This window comes from Homo sapiens, chromosome 4 (assembly GCF_000001405.40).
Source record: "Homo sapiens chromosome 4, GRCh38.p14 Primary Assembly".
Lineage (NCBI taxonomy): Eukaryota > Metazoa > Chordata > Mammalia > Primates > Hominidae > Homo > Homo sapiens.
In genome coordinates this window covers 107,850,567-107,871,003 of record NC_000004.12, presented here as the reverse complement: position 1 = coordinate 107,871,003, position 20,437 = coordinate 107,850,567, and the positions used below count along the sequence as shown (strand labels likewise).

Sequence of the window (20,437 nt, the reverse complement as noted above, 5' to 3'; positions counted from 1 at the left end):
TAGTCAGGAAACATTACAAACTCAATGTTCAATTAGCATTAGGAAGCTAAAAGATGTAATTTTATAGTTAATCTTATTTCCATTAAATCTAATTGTCATTGATGACTCTATATAAATAAAAGTGCTTGCCTATAAATAATCACTTTAAATTGCTTTTTAAAATATAAACATGCTATCAAAAATTTATATTTAAAAATATCAAAGAATTATACTTCTTTGCTTACCATGAAACAAAGAAGCAGCCTAGAAAATGAGTTTTTGTTTTTATTGTTTCTAAAATTATCTCTTACAGCATAATCTGCATCAATAAGCATAGGACATTGGGAGCCCATTTCCAAAGCTTATACCAAACCAAACGAAACCAAAAATGACATTCTGGTTAACGTGCATCTATACTTTAGAGGAAATCTTAAAATTGGCAAAAGTGATTATGGGTTAATGGCGGGTATCTTTAAAGGAAAGGAATGAATTCCATCTAAGAGTTCATAGCTCTAAGAACAAAGAAAAAGCAGATGCTTACAACTCATGTACCAAAACACACTTGACATTTCCTTCCACTCACGCACCTCCTCTTCCATTTCTTATCACAGTAAACGGTACCACCATCCAATCAGCTACTCGGAGTAAATAAATGTTGGCTATTACCCGACTTCAAACTCCCTCCCCTGCTCACCTGAAAATCACTACAAATCCTGTCCATTTTAATCTCCCATCTATTTACCTCTGCTTTCTTTTCACAGACATCTCTTACTTACAGAGGACAGACATAAGTCCAAACAAATCAACAGCCACAACAATTTTTAAATGGATCCAATCCATCCACTAAAAAGCTACATACAAGATTATTTTGTAAATAAAAGGCTGATATAGTTATTAGGAATAGCAGGCATCACCAGTACTTTTACAACTAGAGTACAACGTAAAAGTATTGAGAAAATAGATAATAGAGAACAGCTCACCAAGAAGATATAAAATCATGGACATTCCTACACAAGGAAAAACTGACAGCTCCACAATCATGGTATTTAATGCAGCACTCCCTTCCTCTCTGGTTTTGTTCCTAATCTATTTCCTGCTTTACTGACCTCGTTAAAGACCTTAAATGGCTCCCTATGACCCAAAAGTCCATTGCTTATTTTGACTTAAGAAAAAATTTATAATAGAAAATCTCAAACATAATGAAAGTAGAAAATACTACAGTGAACCCCATTAGCCATAACAATTATCACAGGAAATCTTTTTTTTTTAATCTGTCCTCTACTCTGTATTTTTGGAAGCAGTCTCAGAGACCATGTAATTTCATCTGTAAGAAAGAGATTCTTTTTTCCCCAACATGACCCTAATGCCATTTTTACACCTAACAAAATTAACACAATTTACTTAAAAAAACAAATACCTAGTCAGGTCACCTTTATCCAATTACTTGTTCTCAAGACTGCTTTTTAGATGGTGGCATGTCCTTCTGACATCTATTGTTTCTTAGCATTGCTTACAAGGCTTTTCATAATCTGGCCCCTACCTTCACTTCTAGCCTCAATTTTTGAAACTAGTATTTTTTTCCATCCCCTAAATCCTGCACTTCCACCATATTTACTGAATTTCTGTTTATTTCACATGCAATATCCCCTCTTATCAAGCTTTATGTAAAAATTTTTTAGCAGCCTAAACTTCTTCCCAATCCCATCGACTTGCTTACACACTTGGCTCTCGTGCTTCAGGTCTCAGCAGATGTCATATCCTCCAACAAACCTTTCCTGCTACAACTCCCTGGTATGTGCTACTGGACCTAGAAATGAACTTTCAAATACAGCACTCACTACCCAGTTGGGTTACAAAACCTAGTGTCCCCTCTCTCCTAAATTCCCTTTTAAAAAGAAACACTCATTTCCATTTATAACTTTCTGCTTCTTAAGAAACCAACCTCCCCCTCTTGGGTGCTTTGTGCCCAACATGTTCATGGTATGGCTACTATTCTTTACTTCTACCTTTTGACCTATATTCATGCACAATTACACAAATCTCTTAAAAATGGTGTTCTGTAAGTACAAATCAGACTTGTTCAAAGGCTGTCAATAGTAAGAAAATGCACAAAATTACTTGAACATAATATTCAATAATCATAAAGCTTTCAAATGTGAAAAATATCCAGGGGTGCTAAAGGCAGGTACAAAAGGGATAGTGGAAAAAGAAAATCCTAACTCTAAAATAGGGCTCCAGAATCCTATGATTACAGGAGCAGAAAAAGGCTTCATTTTATTCTGAAAATGGCAGCAACTTTTTTTTTTTGAGACAAAGTCTCACTTTGTCGCCCAGGCTGGAGTGCAGTGGCACGATCTCGGCTCACTGCAACCTCCTCCTCCTGGGTTCAAGCAATTCTTGTGCCTCAGCCTCCCGAGTAGCTAGGATTACAGGCGCCCACCACAACGCCCAGCTGATTTTTGTATTTTTGGTAGAGACAAGGTTTCACCCATGTTGGCCAGGCTGATCTCAAACTCCTGACCTCAGGTGATCCACCCGCCTAGGCCTCCCAAACTGCTGGGATTACAGGCGAGAGCCACCACACCTGGCGGGCAGCAACTTTAAGAATAAGAATGCACTCATCAAAGGCATTATTGCTCTTCAACAGATAACAGCCTAAATACACACTTTCTTTGCAGAGGTTTTTACCGAAGTGCAATCAGAAACCTTAATTTGAAGATCAACTGTCAAAAAGAGTTTTCTGGGAAATGTTGGTTGACCACTTTGTGTAGCTTTCCTTACCTACGATAAAATCATGCAAAACTAAGTAAAAGTGAAAATTTCTCCAAGCCTTTAACAATCTAATTTATATTGCAAACCCAAGTGATTATTATATTGTGGCTTTGTTGTTATTTTAAGCTTTTATTTGGAAAAGTATTTACAAATATACACTTTAAACAATTTCATCAACATTGTGATCATGCAGAGCTAATTGGGCTTTATTACTATTATGCTATATTTCCTCTGCCAAAAATATATTTTTATTTCAGTTTAACAACACTAGATTGGAATATTTTCCAAGTGTTTAAAAATTTTGACTATGTATCCTATTAATGATTTAAATTTATATAGCCTGTGCTCGATTCGGCAACACATATACTAAAATTGGAATGACGCAGAGATTAGCATGGCCCCCGCACAAGGGTAATACACAAATTCGCGAAGTGTTCCATATAAAAAAAATAAATTTATATAGCCTAGACTTAAGAACAAGAGCTATAGCTAACACTCATATAGTACTTACTATTGCCCAAATGCCACAGTTCTAAATGCTTTGATTATCTTATTTAATCATCTCCACAATTCTATGAGGTTAAATATTATTACCCATGTTTTACAGATGAGCACAGAGATATCAAGTGAATTGCCCAAGGTCACCAACTAGTAAGCAGTGAAGCCAGCATTTGGTACTTTGGTAGCTCTGACTCGGCAGGCTGTTCTACCCCTCTTTGGGAAAAGCGTCGCAAATGAGCACACAGCTTCAGGGTGAATTCTTACAGCAAAGAAAAGGAAATGGGATAGCACAGCCCTGCTATGTCAGAAGAACCAACATCAGACATCAGTGGATTCTCATAGCAACATCTCCCCACTGCTTCCTCTTGACACACAGGAAAAATGTTCCAGAATCAACTGGGAAGACTGGCATTTCATTTATAAATGTAATTCCCAGGCTGGGTCGGTAACTCCTCCAATCTTTCCAATTACGTTCATTTCAGATATAGGGGACAGAAATGCTCCAGAAAAGAACTAGACCATATTTGGAGGAGGAGAGAAGGAGTACACCCTTCATCTGTGTTGTGAACTATGTGGAGGAGAGTAGTATGTTACAGTACAGAGAGTCTTGGGGAGGCCATGTGCATGTGTCTTCAGGCCTCCACCTCCTTTCAACTTGAGGAGCTCTGCTTTTCCTTCTATTTTAGAGGGGTTACCCAAAATCTCATCTGAAATCTGGGTTCCATGGCTAAAGAAGTTTAAAAACTGATAGTGCCATGACAAAGCCCTGGATCAGAAGTCACAAAACAAGAATCCAAGAATCTCTCTCTCAGTTTGGCCACAAACAAGTCATGATTAATCCTGGGTCAGTAATTTTGCAATCTTGGGTTGTAGTTTTCTCAGTGTAACACCATTACTTTACAGATTTCTAAGACTCTTGGCCATATTAAAAATATATCATCATATAAAACGAAAGAAATAAAAGATATGTTAGTGACCTCACCAAAGAAAGTTTAAAAAGGTAAATAAAAATCCCATGTCTCACAGAAAGAAAAGAAATAGGGTAAGGTAATTTATTGATAAAGAATGTACTAACCATCATATGATCTAGTGCTCAGAACACCACCGTGAGATTGGTCCCATCATATATTAATATTTCCCAAACACTTTTTTGGTTTGTTTTTTTTTTGTTTTTGGTTTTTTTTTGAGACAGAGCTTCACTCTTGTCACCCAGGCTGGAGTGCAATGGCGCGATCTCAGCTCACTGCAACCTCCGCCTCTCAGGTTCAAGCGATTCTCCTGCCTCAGCCTCCTGAGTAGCTAGGATTACAGGTGCACACCACTACGCCTGGCTAATTTTTCTGTTTTTAGTAGAGACAGGGTTTTGCCATGTTAGCCAGGCTGGTCTCCAACTCCTGACCTCAGGTGATCCACCTACCTCGGCCTCCCAAAGTGCTAGGGATTACAGGTGTGAGCCACAATGCCCAGCCAAGAGTTTTTTTTTAACTTGGTATTTTTATTTAGCTTGATGTAGATAATTTGTGGATAACACATCCATGTGAATTTACTATTAATCAATAACAAAAGTTTATTCAATAACCATGGCCCCTACAACATGCCCTTGCTAATCTCAGAAGCAAATTAAACTCAGGTCAAATGTACATTGTAACATCTTAGAATCCTAAAATCCAGGTTCTAACCCTGACTCTGCCACTTGATGAGAATTAATGCAATCTCCTTGGTCCTTAGTTTCTTCTGTCCTACCCCTATCACATTCTCAAATAAGGGGCTATGCTAAATGATTGGCCATTGGCATATTATGGTTGATCTTATACTTTTATTTCTTGTGGCAATCACACAGTCAGAATAAGCCACATGAAAAGGAAAATAAATTCATGGAAGAATCACCCATTAGGTTCTAGTCACTACTTAAGGCATCTGAATGGAACAAGAGGAGACTATGGGGGTGGGGGGATTTCCACCAGGACTGAAACCAATTAAATAAGATCTTAATGAAGAGCTCCTGATTCAGGTTTATTAGAGAAGAAATAAGGCATTAAAGCTAATGAAAATAATTTTATAAAGTTGTAGCTGAAAGGTCATATTCCCTAGAACAAGAGATAGTTAATTAGAAGGTAAACAATAGAAAAGTTATTGGGTGAGCTCAGAGGCCAACATGAAAGAATATAAAAAAGTATTCTGCTTTATAATTCTAACTGACCATTATACAGATGCAGATTCAAAATTAGGAAATAATGTAATACCAATTAGTATAAACTGGTTAGTGTTTATAAATAGTTGGTACTTTAAAAGGCCTTTTCCAAAATACCTAAAATTGAAATATAATAATATCCCAAGTAATCTGAAATTGCATATTTTGATTTAAAGTTAAACTATAAATTCCATTAGCATTAATGTTTAAAGGTAGACAATTTACAGTATTAAGCTAGATGAGACCTCTCTCGTAAAAGATTAGCAATCCCAGATTGTGTATTTTTTTCTGGGTTGCAGACTATTCCAGTTTTAACATCATACATGACATACACTCCTAAGCCAGATAGCTTTGAGAAAGCAGCTGATTATGTCTTAGAACTTTGTTCATTAAAACTATAAATTCCTATCTCAAATGCTTCTTGGAACAAACAAATATAAACAACGTGAATTCTATCGAAGCTTATTTGAATCACTTGAGGCATTATTTATGGCTGTTTTTGAAAATGTTATGTTTGTTCAGTAATATTTTATGAATAATGTTAATACAGTTTTCCACCAAGTAACATAAAGATACCTGATGAAAGATAGAGAACTTAAATTCATGTAAATGGTAATAAAATAGAAAAACCTCTGGGCTCTTTATAAAATAAACCAAACTTAAATGCATTTTCCCCAAACCAACATACACTTATAGGAAGTTATTCAAGGCATAAGACTGCATATAAAACAGGGATTCTACCTTCAACATTAAATTCAGTGAAGCACTTTATATATTGTGACTTCAAGGAAAGCTGGAAAATTTTACAGTTCAACGGGCTTTCTCCTTTACTTTTTATAGAGATTGAAAAGTTAACCTTAAGACACTAGGCCATTATTTTGGCAATAAATAAATCATTATATCATGTTATACACCTTAATATATACAATTTTTATTTGTCAATTAAAAACACATATTTTTAAAGAAATCTCTATAGCTGTTGAATAAAACGTCATGTACTTATGTTGTACAACTGACCAGAGTTTCTACCTAATTCAAAATTAACTATTATGACTGGCTTTTGAGGCAACTCTGAGAGTCACTCCCCAATCCTTTTCATCCTTTTGACTTTCAGGCCAACTACTTCCTTGGGAAACACCACCATCTCTCAGTCAGCAAAGACAGAACCAGAGAGAGAGACTCTGCAAGTTCAGGAAGAAAGGTTCCAACTACTTTTACTCTCCGTTGCATCTCCTAATGTCACCACTTCCTCAGAGCAGGGTTTAGTCACTACTACAAAACATTGCTCAGGAACTGCAGAGCCACTAGCCTGGCATGTGGTGACACATTCCCAACACAATTCTCTAACATTCTGATTTCCCTTGCAAAGATAAATTCAAGCGAACTTAGAACTCTTAAAGATCAGATTGAGATTGAATGCCATTGGCTTTCTCCCCATACCTATGCTCCTACACATCTCTTCAGCCCAGCACAGGGTTTTAAAAGCTCACTGCTTAACACAGGGCTATCTCCTCTGCTGGTTATGAGCTGCAAGGATAGAGTCCATGTCCTGTTTGTGTTGGTGTTCCTGGCCACTAGCCAAGAACCTGCAGCCCAGCCCTAGAATAGCAGTTGAATGAATGTGGCAGCCCACACACTCAAAGACACCAGAATTATCTTACCCTTTCCCAGAGAGCTTCAGGTACCTTTCTTTTCCTAAATGAGTCACTAATGTGTCTGTATAAATATGGTTTCCATATATGTCACAGAGCCCAAACATTTCATCTGACTTACTGTGGTTTACTTTTTGTGACTGCATTTTTATTATATCTTATATAAAAAGGGGGATATAACAGAAGGAAAAAACAGTAAAGCAAAAACCCATATCTAGCTTCAGAGCATTACATATCCACTGGAAGCCCTAAAGCAATGCTCCATGATCGCATGGCCTTTCCGCTGCATAACCCTGAGGTCATTTTTTGATACATAATTCTCAAAGTATGCAGTGCTGAAAGACCTTGAAGAGCTTTCTTAAATGATGTTATGGTTAAAATTTCTATGATTGCAGTCCTTGAAATCATAAAAGAATAAATACATCCTTGGAAAAGATCTCACTTCTCTTCTTCTTCATTCCTTCACAATTCAGCCCCCACCTCTCAAGGAGCTGTCTAGAGCATGGCGAGCAAGCTAATGCTTTCCCAGAGTTTATGACAGATGCCAGTTTTAGTGTTCCCCAAATGCTAACATTAATACACACAACTACTGTATAGGGTAGTCACCATTACCACCCCTATCTGAGGTATGAAGTTAGAAATGTAACAAGTGACAGAGGTAGAATTTGAACGCATCTGAGTCCAGGCTCCTGGAACCATGCTATGTTGTGATTTTCTGGGATCTTGGGCTATTTTTACAATTAGAGATGTGACCCAAGGGCAATGGATTTCCATCCTGGTGAGTTCTTCTGGGGAGAGACTGCACTTCTCCCAGTCCTGTCCCCAACTCTTCCTCCTCACAGTTACCATGTAGGAGCATGAAAACTATCCATGTTTGCCCAGTAAGGTGGCATTCTTCCAAACATTAGCTGGCCCCACCTTATAACACATAAGCGAGAAGCTCTAGGTCACTTGACCTCAGGGCACATGCAAATGTTTATCAGGCTGCCCAGTGACTTGTAGAGGCGGCATTTCCTGGAAACATCATGGTTAGACATTTCATTCAGTGAGGTGTTCAGAACATCTGAATCACTCCTGTTGCCTAGCAACTTGTTTGTGTTTGGCAGGATGAAGACAACTCAGGCACAGGTACAGTCGGATATAAGGCAGAAATCTATTCAGCACGACGTCCTCCCAACACTAGACTGCTGATTTAGTGCTTAAACTTGACAGTGTTCTTTCCCACTTTCTCACTCTTGGTAGAGGCTCCTTCAGTCATTCTCTTTAAGTCAGGAGCATTCAAAAGGCACTATGCTGTACACAGAATAAACAGGTCCTTTGTAGCTGAAATATAGGCTACTATTTTTCCTACAGAGTTTTGAAAAAAAACTTTTAAGACAAAGCTAATTACAGGGTTCTTACATATAAAAGGGAAAAGAGTTATACAGTATCATGGAAATTACTTGTCATCCTTAAAAGAATTAGTTCTTTCACATATTCGCATATCTGTCCCTTTTCTTTGATAACAAGAATTGATTAGCACAATATAAGTAGCTTCGGAATCAAGGAGGTTCACCCTCCAATACCGTCATAAATACAAATATATAGCAAAGCTGGCCTAAAGTCACCTTACTAACCTTCATCTTCAAATTTAAGTTAGCATGTGTGCCTGGGTTACTCTAGGAGCCAAAAATCTAGAACAAAACACTGTGGGCTTGCATTCCATATACATTCTCCGACAGTTACGGCTTTTCCTCTATTATTTTAGGTCTCCGCTACTTTCCCAGTCATTTCTATGCGTTAAATACTCAGAGAAAGAAAAGTGGTTTTAGAAAAGCCGCCCCCACCACCACCCCAATACTGGGATTTCTGTTGTTGTTTCTTTCGTTTTTGCTCTTCTTGTCAGAGGACATGCCTGCTATAGAAACAAGAAAATAAGATGTAAGGGTGTGCTTAAATGTTACTCCTAATCTTAGTGGGACAGTCCTGAGTTCTAGATTTATTAAATGTTTATGAACAGGAGGATACAAAAGTTGTTTAGAAAATTTTATTTTTTCTTCCTTTCATCCAATAATATTCATCCTTACCTTGGGGTTTCAGTATCCTGATATTTGTAAGAACTATTAAAAATCAAATAGATATGAATTACTTCACTTTTTTAACAACTATAAAATGGGTATATGAGTTTACTTAGCAAAGATTTTCAACTTAAACATGTTAATCCTTTATCTCCTCCAAAATATTTTTCTTTTTGAAAGGCATATTTAAGGAAAAAAATCTTTCCATATTAAAAAATTCTTGAATTCCACCAAAGTCCATAACAGATTTAAGAAAAGAGTACCCTCATTATCTAGAACTGGCTAACTGTAGGCTGCAATTACTAGTGGCAAGAAATAAGGGGGTTGAATCACTCTCCAAACTATTTCAAAGTCCTTAACCACATCTCTCAAGCAAGTTTTCTAATTTGGGGTTCGTAGTTGATAGGTGGACCTCCTGAAGCCCTGTAAAATGTTTTGGCTCATGCATATAACCAGAAGTAGAAAGCTTATTTCTTCAGATTCTCAAAATCGAATTTAGGTCTTGGGAAATCAAATTGCCAGCAGATAACTGAGGATTTAACCTCATGAATTTGTTGCTGACTACCTGCTTAATATAAATTGCAGTAACATAAAAGAAGAATGTTTGTTCCCATGCTGAAACTGAAGATTTCTAATAATTAAATAGCAGTAGAGCCCCATCTATGACAGCAAGCCAGTTTACTGCATTTGTATACCCTGAGAGCTAAATTACCACTAATTGTCTCATCTTTCGAAAATGTATTTAAACTTCATTAGATATGTGAATGTCTGTTATGGCCAGGCGAAAGAGACCGACCTAGTCCCTGGCCTCACAAAGCTTGCAGTCTGGTTGGAGAAACAAACAAATCATTATCACACAGGGAGATAAATGTTTAGATAATTGAAAGTTCAGGATGCTATAAGAACACATTGCCAAGGCACGCAACCCAGTCTGACATTTAAGCTATGAGAATTGGCAAAATATCCAGACGCTGATGACAGCAGGTACTCTCACAAGTTTCTAGTAGATATGTAATAAGAAAACCTTGGCCAGGTGCAGTGGCTCATGCCTGTAATCCCACCACTTTGGGAAGCCGAGGCAGGCGGATTACCTGAGGTCAGGAGTTCGAAACCAGCCTGGCCAACATGGCGAAACCCCATCTCTACTAAAAATACAAAAATTAGCCAGGCGCAATGGTGGGTGTCTGTAATCCCAGCTATTCAGGAGGCTGAGGCAGGAGAATTGCTTGAACCCAGGAGGTGGAGATTGCAGTGAGCCGCCGAGATCGCACCATTGCACTCCAGCCTGGGCAACAGAGAGAGGCTCCGTCTCAAAAAAAAAAAAAACACCTTCCTCTCAGAGATGCAATTTAATGATATCTATTAAAATTACACATACACCTTATGACCTGCAATTCTACTTTACAAGTTTATATAGATATATTGTCTACATGCAAAATAACCTACATACAGTTACTTACTGCAGTACTGTTTAAGAGCAAACAATTGGCCACAACCCAAATGTTGTCCATCAATAGATCACTATTTTAACTGTGGAACATCCATAAATGGACTCTGTTATTCTGTAACTGCTTTAAAAAAAGAATGAGGAAAGTGTCTTAGTACTAGCTTATTAAGTCCTCCTACATATATTGTAAGGAAAAAAAACATACATTGCAGAGAAATATAGTACGCTATCTTTTACATTATGAAGAGGGCAAATAGGAATATTCCTATTTGCTTATTTATGCATAAAGAAATTCTAGAAGGATGCTTTAGACATTGACAGAGGCTGAGAGGATGGTGGAGGCAGAATTTGGGCAGACTCTGTGAATGCGAAATGTATGAAAATGGTATACTTAAAAAGTAATCCTTACATCAAGTGTGTGGGACATTGCAAAGGAAAAAAAAAACAGTAATCCTTTATTTTTCAAGCCCAAGTTATATCAACCTAGCACCTTTTTTTGGTTTATTATTTTAACACACTTCTAAAATTCTGCAGTGATTAAATTAGAACATACGACTACTTTATTTTCCAAATCAGGGTTTCACTCTCTCCTTTCCTGCTTGTGTCCATCTGCCATCCTGAAGGGGGTTTCCCCAGAGTACCTGAGAGCGAGGCAAGTCCTCTGTGCCTCCCTGCTCTGGTTTGTTGGCTGAGGATATTCAAGAGCTTTTTTTAAAGCTCATGAAAGGATTTTGTTTTGTTCACTGCCTCATTCGCAACACTGACAAGAATGCCTGGCACATAGAAAGCGTTCAGTAAGTATTTGTTGAATAAATGAATTCTTTTCTTCACTCAGCTTCAATGAGACAGACACCACCAGACAAAGGGAAAGATATCAAAATGGTGTCAAATATTTAGAAATAGCTGCCATTCTTAGTGCCAGCTCAAAGTAGGCATTCTAACCTTAGCAACATTCCTAGAATTATTGTGAATTTCACAGAAGACAAATAATGTTATAGAATACTGTGCTGAATAATATTAACTACCTACAAATATTTATTTTAAATGATTTGGGATTACATGGTCCTGGTGTCTATCTTAGGGTAGAAATCTTTTTAGGCAAACACCACAATAAACAGTAATGATAAAAAGTAAAAAAAAACAAAACAGCTATCATCAGGGTCAAATGAACCCTAGTCTTAAGGTGCCCAGAGATATAGCAAGAAAAGGGAAACTCTTTTGCACTAAAAAATGCAACTATTTTTATTTTCAAGAATAAAATTATACTTGAAATAAAATTCCAAGTACTCTAGGCAGTGAATTGAGTTGTACTGCTTCAACCACACAAGCAAAACCTCTTCTTCCTCAGTGGGCATAGAATGGGTATAACTGCCACAGCTCTTTAATTTTGGTTTAGATAACTATAAAAACAGAATAACTTTGCTAGTAATTTCCGTACTGTTGCTGAAAGGTGCATGGCTGACTGATATCTCTTTGAAGATTTTCTGTTTTCTTAAGGCATGGTTGAGACAGTTAATTGAGTGCTCTCTTTTGGCAGTAATGCAAACAGGTTAGAAAGTTATGGGGTTACCTCTATTTCTCTGGCTGTCATTTAAAACGGCAATCCAAGACCGAGAAAACATCCATTCACCTGAAAGAACTTGAAATTTAAGACTCTCCTGAGGATGAAATAAAAATTCTCAGAGTTACGACATTTATGAATGTCTTAACCAGAGAAGGGAAGATAGCAGCAGCAAAGCTGCAGGACAACTGATAGACAGCCAACCTTCAGCTGATGTAAGTTAGACTCATGCTATAGCAGCAGGAAGCACCAAACCTACTGTTTCCAGATGGTAGCACAGCAATTCCCACCTTGGTCCTTGCAGCAGTCAACACTCCCAGTCTCTGGCAGGTCCTTTTGGAGAAGAGTGTTATAGGGCCACAGGATGCAGCTCTAGGGGAAGAAAAAGTCAGAGATTAAATAAGAATGAGGCTTTGTTGCTATGTTTTGCTAGTTTTCTGGGGGTGGAGGTGGAATGAAGAGCCCTCTGATGCTACCCTCCTAGAGCTCTCCAATACTGGCCCTCTAGGAGAGTTGCCAGGAAAACACTGGCTATAACAGGTACTGACACTTCAGGTCAAGAAAAGCAACTCAGCCATTCACTCCACTAATATTTAACACCTGCCAGCCCCTATTTAAAGTTGGAGCAGGGCAGGCAGGCAGATTCCCTTGCCTCCTGATGTTCGCGTTCTAACACAGGAACACACAGATAAACAAGAAGACCAGTCAATGTCACTCAAAAAAGTCAGTCAGAGTCAGGGCAAGGCTGATGTGGTCGATGTAGAGCAAGTGGTGTCAGGGAAGCCTTTCTAAGGGGATATTTAAGACTTAATAAGGGTTGGGGATGGGGGGGGTGGGGCAGCTACAAAAGAAGAGTAAGCCAGGCAGAGGGAACGGCTGGGCTGGCCCAAAGGCCCTGAGGCAAGAATGAGCCAGGAAGGTTTAAAAAGAATGGAAAGCACGGCGGGAGTATTGTGAACTAGGCATAGAGAAGGGAAGAGGAGTGCAGAGGGCTTTATAGGACAGTAGAAGGACTATGTACATAAAGGGCAAACTAAGTGTCACAGAAACTTAGGTTGATGTGCTGTGCATAATCTGTCACCTTCTACTAAATGGTGGAAGATTTCCTTTGAAATACATACAGTTGCTGCAGTCTTTCAATGGATTTTTTAGTTGAAATTTGCCTTGTGGATGGAAGCAAAATATAGGCTACTGGCCAGAGGTCTGCAGTTCATAGAACCACAATATGAATATCCAAAGAATACAACCTGAGACTACCCAATAGTGCATATATGTATATGATTTGGTAGCATATATATATATATATATATATCTTTTAACTACCTAACAAATTTCATTAAAATCTGTTTAACAACTGCAGGATGTACACTCATGTGCAACCAGAAATCGATTTTTAGTTGAGATCCCATCTTAATCAAAAATACTCAACTCTTGGAAGAAACTCAAGAACAAATGTGTCACTCTTAGGTATATACCCCCCAAAAAAATGAAAACACCAGTCCAAGCAAAAACTGTACACAAATATTCATAACAGCATTATTCATAATGGCCCCAAAGTGGAAAAAACCCAAATGTCCATCAACTATTAAATGGATAAACAAAATGTGGCAAACCCATATAATATTATTGGGCAATGGAAAGGAATAAGGCAGTGATACACACTGTAGCACGAATGAATCCTGACAACATTATTCTAAGTGAAAGAAGCCAGTCACAAAGACCACATGTTATATGATCCCATTTATATGAAATGTGCAGAATAGGCAAATCCATAAAGACAGAAAGATTTGTGGTTGCCAAGGGCTAGGGGAAGAAGAGAATGGAAAGTGAATGCTAATGGGTATAGGGTTTCTTTCTGGAGTGCTGTAAATATTCTAGAATTAAATAGTGGGGTTGGTGGCACAACTCTGAATACACCAAAAACTACTGATTTGTACACTTTAAAAAGGCCAGTTTTATGGTATGTGAATTACATCTCAGTGCAACTGTTGTAAAATTAAAAGAACAAAAGAATATCTGAAATGCTGTGAACAGATGAAATAAACTTCAACTGGCCCAAAATGCTATATTCCAGTAAGCATTACTAGACCCCATTAAAAGGGACAAGCAGTTTAGTTTTACACTTCAGATACTGTACACTACACTCCCCATGGTACATGTTTACCCCTCTGGAAAGATCACCTTATCCTTGGAGGATGTTTTTCTCGTTTCACTTGGAACCCTTCTCCGGTTATCACCCTCTCTCGACTCCACCTACCATCCCCACTCACTCCACGCAAATAAAATTAAAGCAGATAGTTGCTTTTGCACTCTAACTCAAGTCTGTGGACAATTACAATTGTTTAGAGCATGGTATTAATGATATTTCTAATATGGTCAGCTTATAGATTTTATTCAGTTACGTAGCCAAACCTAGCACTTTTCATCTAGTCAAGCTGAAAATGTGTGCCCTTGTCAAAAAGGAGAATGGGCAAAAGGGTAGATACTGGAAATGCAAAACAAATTCAAGCTTACTACTCCAAAATCCCTTTCTGTATATATCTTAACATGGTGTTACATTAAGACTACATTCATTTTAAATAGTATCTTATAAGTTCATGATTTATTTTAAAGTATATGTAGAATGTATAATTTCACAAAGGAATAAAGTAAATTATATAACAACAGCAAAATACTACTGTGAGATGATTAATGTAGAATCACAGAGGCAGGTAAATATAGAGAAGGTTTCTTGATCACAAGGTGTAGTGGAAGAGGGAATGCTATCTCCTGGGACTGAATATTGTTCTACCTGCTCCCGGTAGCAAATCACTGCAGAGACAGCAAAGCTTGATGTTTATGAACAAGGATTCTGAAGGCCAACTCCACACTTAGCATGACTCCACGATTAAGTATTATGGCTCCAGGCATGATACTTAATTTCCCTGAGCCTTAGTTCCCTCATCTATAAATAGTACTAACTTAACAAGGTCCTTAAAAGAATCAAAGGTTATATAAAAACAAAAATAGATCTAAAGGGAGAGACAGATTGCAAAACAATAATAGTAGAGGACTTCAACACCCCACTTTTGGCAATGGACAGATCATCCACGCAGAAAATCAGTAAAAAACATTGGAATTAAACTATACTCTAGACCAAATGGACCTACTAACAGACATTTACACAACATTTCATCCAACGGCTATACAATACACATTCTTCTCAGCAGCACATGGAACATTCTCCAGAATAGATCATATCTTAGACCACAAAACAAGTCTCCACAAATTCAAAAAAGTCACTATTATATCCAAGTGTCTTTTCTGAATCCAATGGAATAAAACGAAAAATCAATAACAAGAAGAGCTTTGGAAACTGTGCAAATGTATGGAAATTAAGCAAAATGCTCCTGAACAATCAACAAAGAAATTAAGAAGGAAATTTAAACATTTCTCAAAATAAATGAAAATGGAAACACAACATACCAGAACCTATCAGATACAGCAAAAGCAGTACCGAGGGAATTTTATAGCACCATATGCCTACATCGAAAACATAGAAAGACTCCAAATAAATAACCTAATGGTGTACCTCAAGGAACTAGAAAAGAACAAATCCAAAATTAGTAGAAGGAAATAATAAACATCAAAGCAGAAATAAATGGAGAAAAAAGAAAGAACCAAAGGAGTTAATACTAATAAAGACATCAGAAACAGCACCTGGTATATAGTAAGCATTATATGTATTTGTTAAATGATTAAAATAGAGCATACTAGTTAAGTCTTGCAAAATGACTAAAACTGTACTGCATATTTGGCTCTCAACTCCTTTGTAGATAGAGGGGAAAAAATTTTCCAAACTCAGAGAAAGAGAGAAAATGCATATATCTCCATATGTGTTTGGAGGAAGGCAAGTGGGAACCATATTTTGTTCCTCAGGAGGAAAAAGAAAGCATTTGACACTTAACTTTAATATGGTCTGTACACAAGAGGCAATGAGCAATACTGCAGACCAGGGAAGACCGCCATATGACGTCACTTGATAGTTTTTCACTGTTTCTCAATAAATCCCAAGGCATAACTCTCTACAATTTCTGTAGTAGGAAGACAAGGCAATGTGATACAAATATACAGCTCTGATGATCGGCTCACAACTGCACCAGAAATCTCCAATCCATCTTTTACTTCCATTTCCCTCTGCCATGCTTCTGATAACCAGAGCTGAGGAGGAGACAGTTCCAGATCTCTGAAACAAATTCTCCAACATTAGGAGATGGCCAAAATATAGCCACATAAAAACACTAAGTAACCTGATGCATTGAAAAGCAACTCCCCCTAGAAGCATCTGTTTTTAAGTTTAATGGACTTCAGAGCCATTGTCTGGCTAAAGAACAGCCATAATCATCTCAGGGGATTAAACAACTTGGAAGAATATTCCTATTAGTCATAGTCATCTCAGGCTCCACCTAACAGTTAAACACAGAACTTTTATGAATTACAAAAGCTATTATGCTTAAGCCATGTTTTATTGTAAATTGGACAGTAGATAACTTTTCTTTAAAAGACTAGTTATACGGTGCAAACCTTAGCTAGAAAACGACCCGTCTTCCTTCAGATAGTCCCATATTGTACATGGAAGACACGATAAAGTTGAATTTCCACAGCTATTACACAGTCCTGTGACTAAGCTGATGTCCCAGTGATTTATCAGCCGTTTTCATTCCATCTGGCAAAGCATGTTGTTCTTAAGGCTAATTATTTAACAATGTTTTCTTCAGATAAAATGGTAATAATCTTATTAATCAACTATAGCAATGTATTTTCATTTGCATACCTATGGAGTATTGCTAAAGAGAATAGAAAATAGATTAATTCCCTTGCGGTTCACGTACACTAAATGTAGCATTCTGCAAGGAAGGAGAGCAAGAGATGGCATTTATAACTAACTCCTGTGCATTCTTGGAGAAGCTTTTTTTGACCATTCCAGACCGCATTTGGTTTCCTTTCCCTTGCTCCACGTTACTTTCTACTTTTTCTCTGACTTAACAGTTTGCTAACTGTAACTTTGGTCAGTTATTTGTAGAGATTTACTTGTCTCTTTCCAGTGAGACTGCAAGCTCTGTGAGGGAAGGGATCACATGTGTCAGATTCTCTGCTGTCTTTCTGGCACAGAATTGAGGGTTATAAATATTTGTTCACTGACTAACTCCCATTTTATAAGATAAGCTGTGTTCCTAAAGAATCACATGTCAGTTCCTCTCAAGATAAGGAAGTCACTGAAGTAATCTTATAAGGGGAGGGAGTAAGCCCCACTAATATCATTTAATATTATGAAACAGTGACCCACAAGTTTGAACTTACAGAAGCAGAGTCCATGGATATGGCTATGGCAGATGTGACTGAGGGGGAGGGAGAAAAGGAGTGGGGAGGAATGACCCACTAATTTAGATGGGTACTTTCAGAGTGAAAGTTTATTATAAGAGCTCAAATAGTGTTTTCTAATTATAGACTGTTAAATTTAAAATATATTGAAAGGCAACTCTGTACTTCTCTCTGCCCAATGCAGACTGAATTAAAATATCCAAGAAACAGGACTTTTTTTTTAAGCCCAGAAAGCCTGACACACCTATTAAAAAGTTCTGTCTCATAAGCTCTGCTTTCTACAGTTTCTGTTAGGTCTTCCATGGCCCAGACAATTGGCAATCTTGTTCTTTCTTTCATGACACAAAGTTGTTATATCCAAATGATTAACCTCCTAAGGTTAAAGTCATGAGCGATGACAAGAAGGTCATATAATATCATAACAGTAAAAATTAAATAATTTTAAACAAATGCCTTCAAACCTTCACAATAAAAGAAAATAAACTCTTATACTTTAACATTTAAAGTGAGAAAGTGTTTAACCTTACCAGTGAGAAAAGAAACTCAAAGAAGTGAGATACCATTTTTCTACATATTAAATTGACTCTTTAAAATACCAACATAAAATTATTACACTGCTTTCCAGGGCTATTGTAAAATATATTTCATATATTCTATAAACCTCCTAAGAACATCAACAAAGATTAGTTCTGAGCCTATTAACCAAGACATTGCCAGTAACAGTAAAAAAAAAAAATGAGAAACAAGTGTCCAATAATAAGAGACATGTTAAAAACAACATGGTGGGTAGGTACAATGGAATAATGAAATGCTCCTATCACAGTTAGTGGGGAATGATAAGAGGTGCATTATATATTCATGGGTATAAAACAATGATATGTGTATGATCCTATTTCTCCTGTTTCTACAAGTTGCATGTGTAAATATAAATGTGACTAGAAAGATAATGCAAAATGCTAACATATAATAGATTTATAGATGACTTAAATTTTTCTTTTGCTTATCCAGGCATAACATTTCCTAAAATAAACATGAGTTGCTATTATAATTAGAAAGTTAAAGAGAAAAGATGACACAAAAACTCCCAAAACACATTTCCAAATAGCTACCATAGTCACATTCTTTTTTAAAAAATTATTATGACTTGGGAGGCTGAGGCAGGCGGATCACGGGGTCAGGAAATCCAGACCATCCTGGCTAACACGGTGAAACCCCGTCTCTACTAAAAGTACAAAAAAAAAAATTAGCTGGGTGTAAGTGATGGCAGGCACCTGTAGTCCCAGCTACTCGGGAGGCTGAGGCAGGAGAATGCAGTGAACTCAGGAGGCGGACCTTGCAGCGAGCCGAGATCGCGCCACTGCAATCCAGCCTGGGTGAAAAAGTGAGACTCTGTCTCAAAAAAAAAAAAAAATTATTATGACAAGCACATTGTTTCATATCATTATGCTCCGAGGATAAAAACGGTACACCTCATTTTTCATTTTGATCAGTCTGTGTGTGGGGCAAGCAAATAAAGGCATTCAGTCTGGAATCTTAAAAGTTTTCCTTTTAGCAAGATGCCATTTGTGGTGATGTACCACCAAGTAGCAAAGAGGTCAGCCTCTCCAGTTAAATATAGCCTAATTATATAGTTGATAAAAATAAAGGAAAATGTACATATTTACTATGATTACTACTCATGCTCAAATAAAATCCTGTCTTTGAAATAGAAATGAAACCCAAAGTAAAAATAAAACAAGAAACTTAATTCAAAAATGTGAATTAAGATAGAAGCAAATTTGGGAGGGGGTTATTATAGAGAAGCTGCCCTTCTTGCTTAGGGAGAGAGGATATTTGCTGGGATGCAGAAAAACTCATCAGGATATACAGAAGTGTTATTGTCAAAACTGTAAGGATCCTGTAGAATATACACCTGAGTAGGTTAACAGACTGAGCAGAATGGCTATACCTGAGTAATTTAGTCAGAGCTAAGTGTATGTTAACTATCCAGGTTAGGCAGTGCCCTTCAGCTTTCTAGCCATCCAAATCTCTCGTTGACTGGATGGTAATTACTTGGACTACCTGGTTGGCAATCCATGTCCTCTAGTTTTTATTTTCCTCTCTCCTAATCTGTTGTTGTCCTTGTTCTTAAGATTTCTAAGAGGTTGCTTACTCTAGCCTCCTCTGTAGTTATCAGCGGTTTGCTTCTCTTGTGAGAAACTTGTTTGAAAGATGAATGATTTGTACTTGTCATAACTCTTACAAAGACTTCCACCAGGTGTACCATGAGCATGGCATGCACCGTAGACTTCCACACCCTGCAGGCTTCCAATATTCCTTCCAAGCAATCAGAAAGCAAGTTGCATATTAGCATATTTACATAAACCCCTATTTCACAAAGCAAAGTTTTTTCAAGTCTTCTTTTAAGTTTTAGAGGCAGGATGACATGCAGAGAGAACAAAACGGGAGTTAAGAAATTAAATATTCAGGATGCTAAGGAGTTATTTGGTGGTGTCCATATGAAAGAGAGTATTAAAGTACCAGGAATCACTGGAGCAAGAGAAGAAGAAAGTGAAATGAGGGGTACACTCGTAGAAGGTTTTGCAACTGAATCTTGAGCAACATAAAGGAAAATAAAGCAAAGCCCCCAGAAGTTGGGAAGATGAATGCATTTGGATGAGTATCAAGGTGGAAATCAGAGGACCTGCCAGTGGAACCTCAGAAACCACCCAAGCTCTAATGGGCTGTCACAAAACGGGATGGTGATGCTGACCACGTAAATAGGTCAGCCACATGCTTTTACCTCAGACTTCTAAGTCATGCAAGGTCAGAGGCTACACCTCAGGTACTATAGGAAGGGAAAGTGAAAGGAGTAAATGTTACTAATGTCATTTTCAGTGATCACACCTCTCTTCTTGGGCTAGGTACCCTGGATGC

The 20,437-nt window shown here is 37.5% G+C and overlaps 1 protein-coding gene, 1 long non-coding RNA gene and 1 pseudogene across 17 annotated transcripts in view; 2 read left to right on the top strand and 1 right to left on the bottom strand.

Annotated features, from left to right (window-relative positions):
• The window catches only part of CYP2U1-AS1 (CYP2U1 and SGMS2 antisense RNA 1), a 68,641-nt gene extending 61,116 nt beyond the window's left edge, over positions 1 to 7,525 (top strand). The window contains exons 6-7 of the long non-coding RNA NR_125929.1: positions 3,359 to 4,096; positions 6,558 to 7,525. This is a non-coding gene — a long non-coding RNA (CYP2U1 and SGMS2 antisense RNA 1). The remainder of the gene's footprint in view (positions 1 to 3,358; positions 4,097 to 6,557) is intronic.
• The window catches only part of SGMS2 (sphingomyelin synthase 2), a 90,485-nt gene that overhangs the window by 44,044 nt on the left and 26,004 nt on the right, over positions 1 to 20,437 (bottom strand). For 12 of the 16 annotated variants that reach the window (NM_001375906.1, XM_011531701.3, XM_047449714.1 and 9 more), the window contains one exon: positions 12,451 to 12,532. The gene's annotated coding sequence lies outside the window, so the exon portion shown is untranslated. Of the gene's footprint in view, positions 1 to 12,419; positions 12,533 to 20,437 lie in introns of all 16 variants that reach the window. The other 4 variants (XM_047449717.1, NM_001375908.1, XM_047449719.1 and 1 more) reach the window with 1 other exon arrangement.
• RNU6-733P (RNA, U6 small nuclear 733, pseudogene) lies at positions 3,094 to 3,197 on the top strand (annotated as a pseudogene).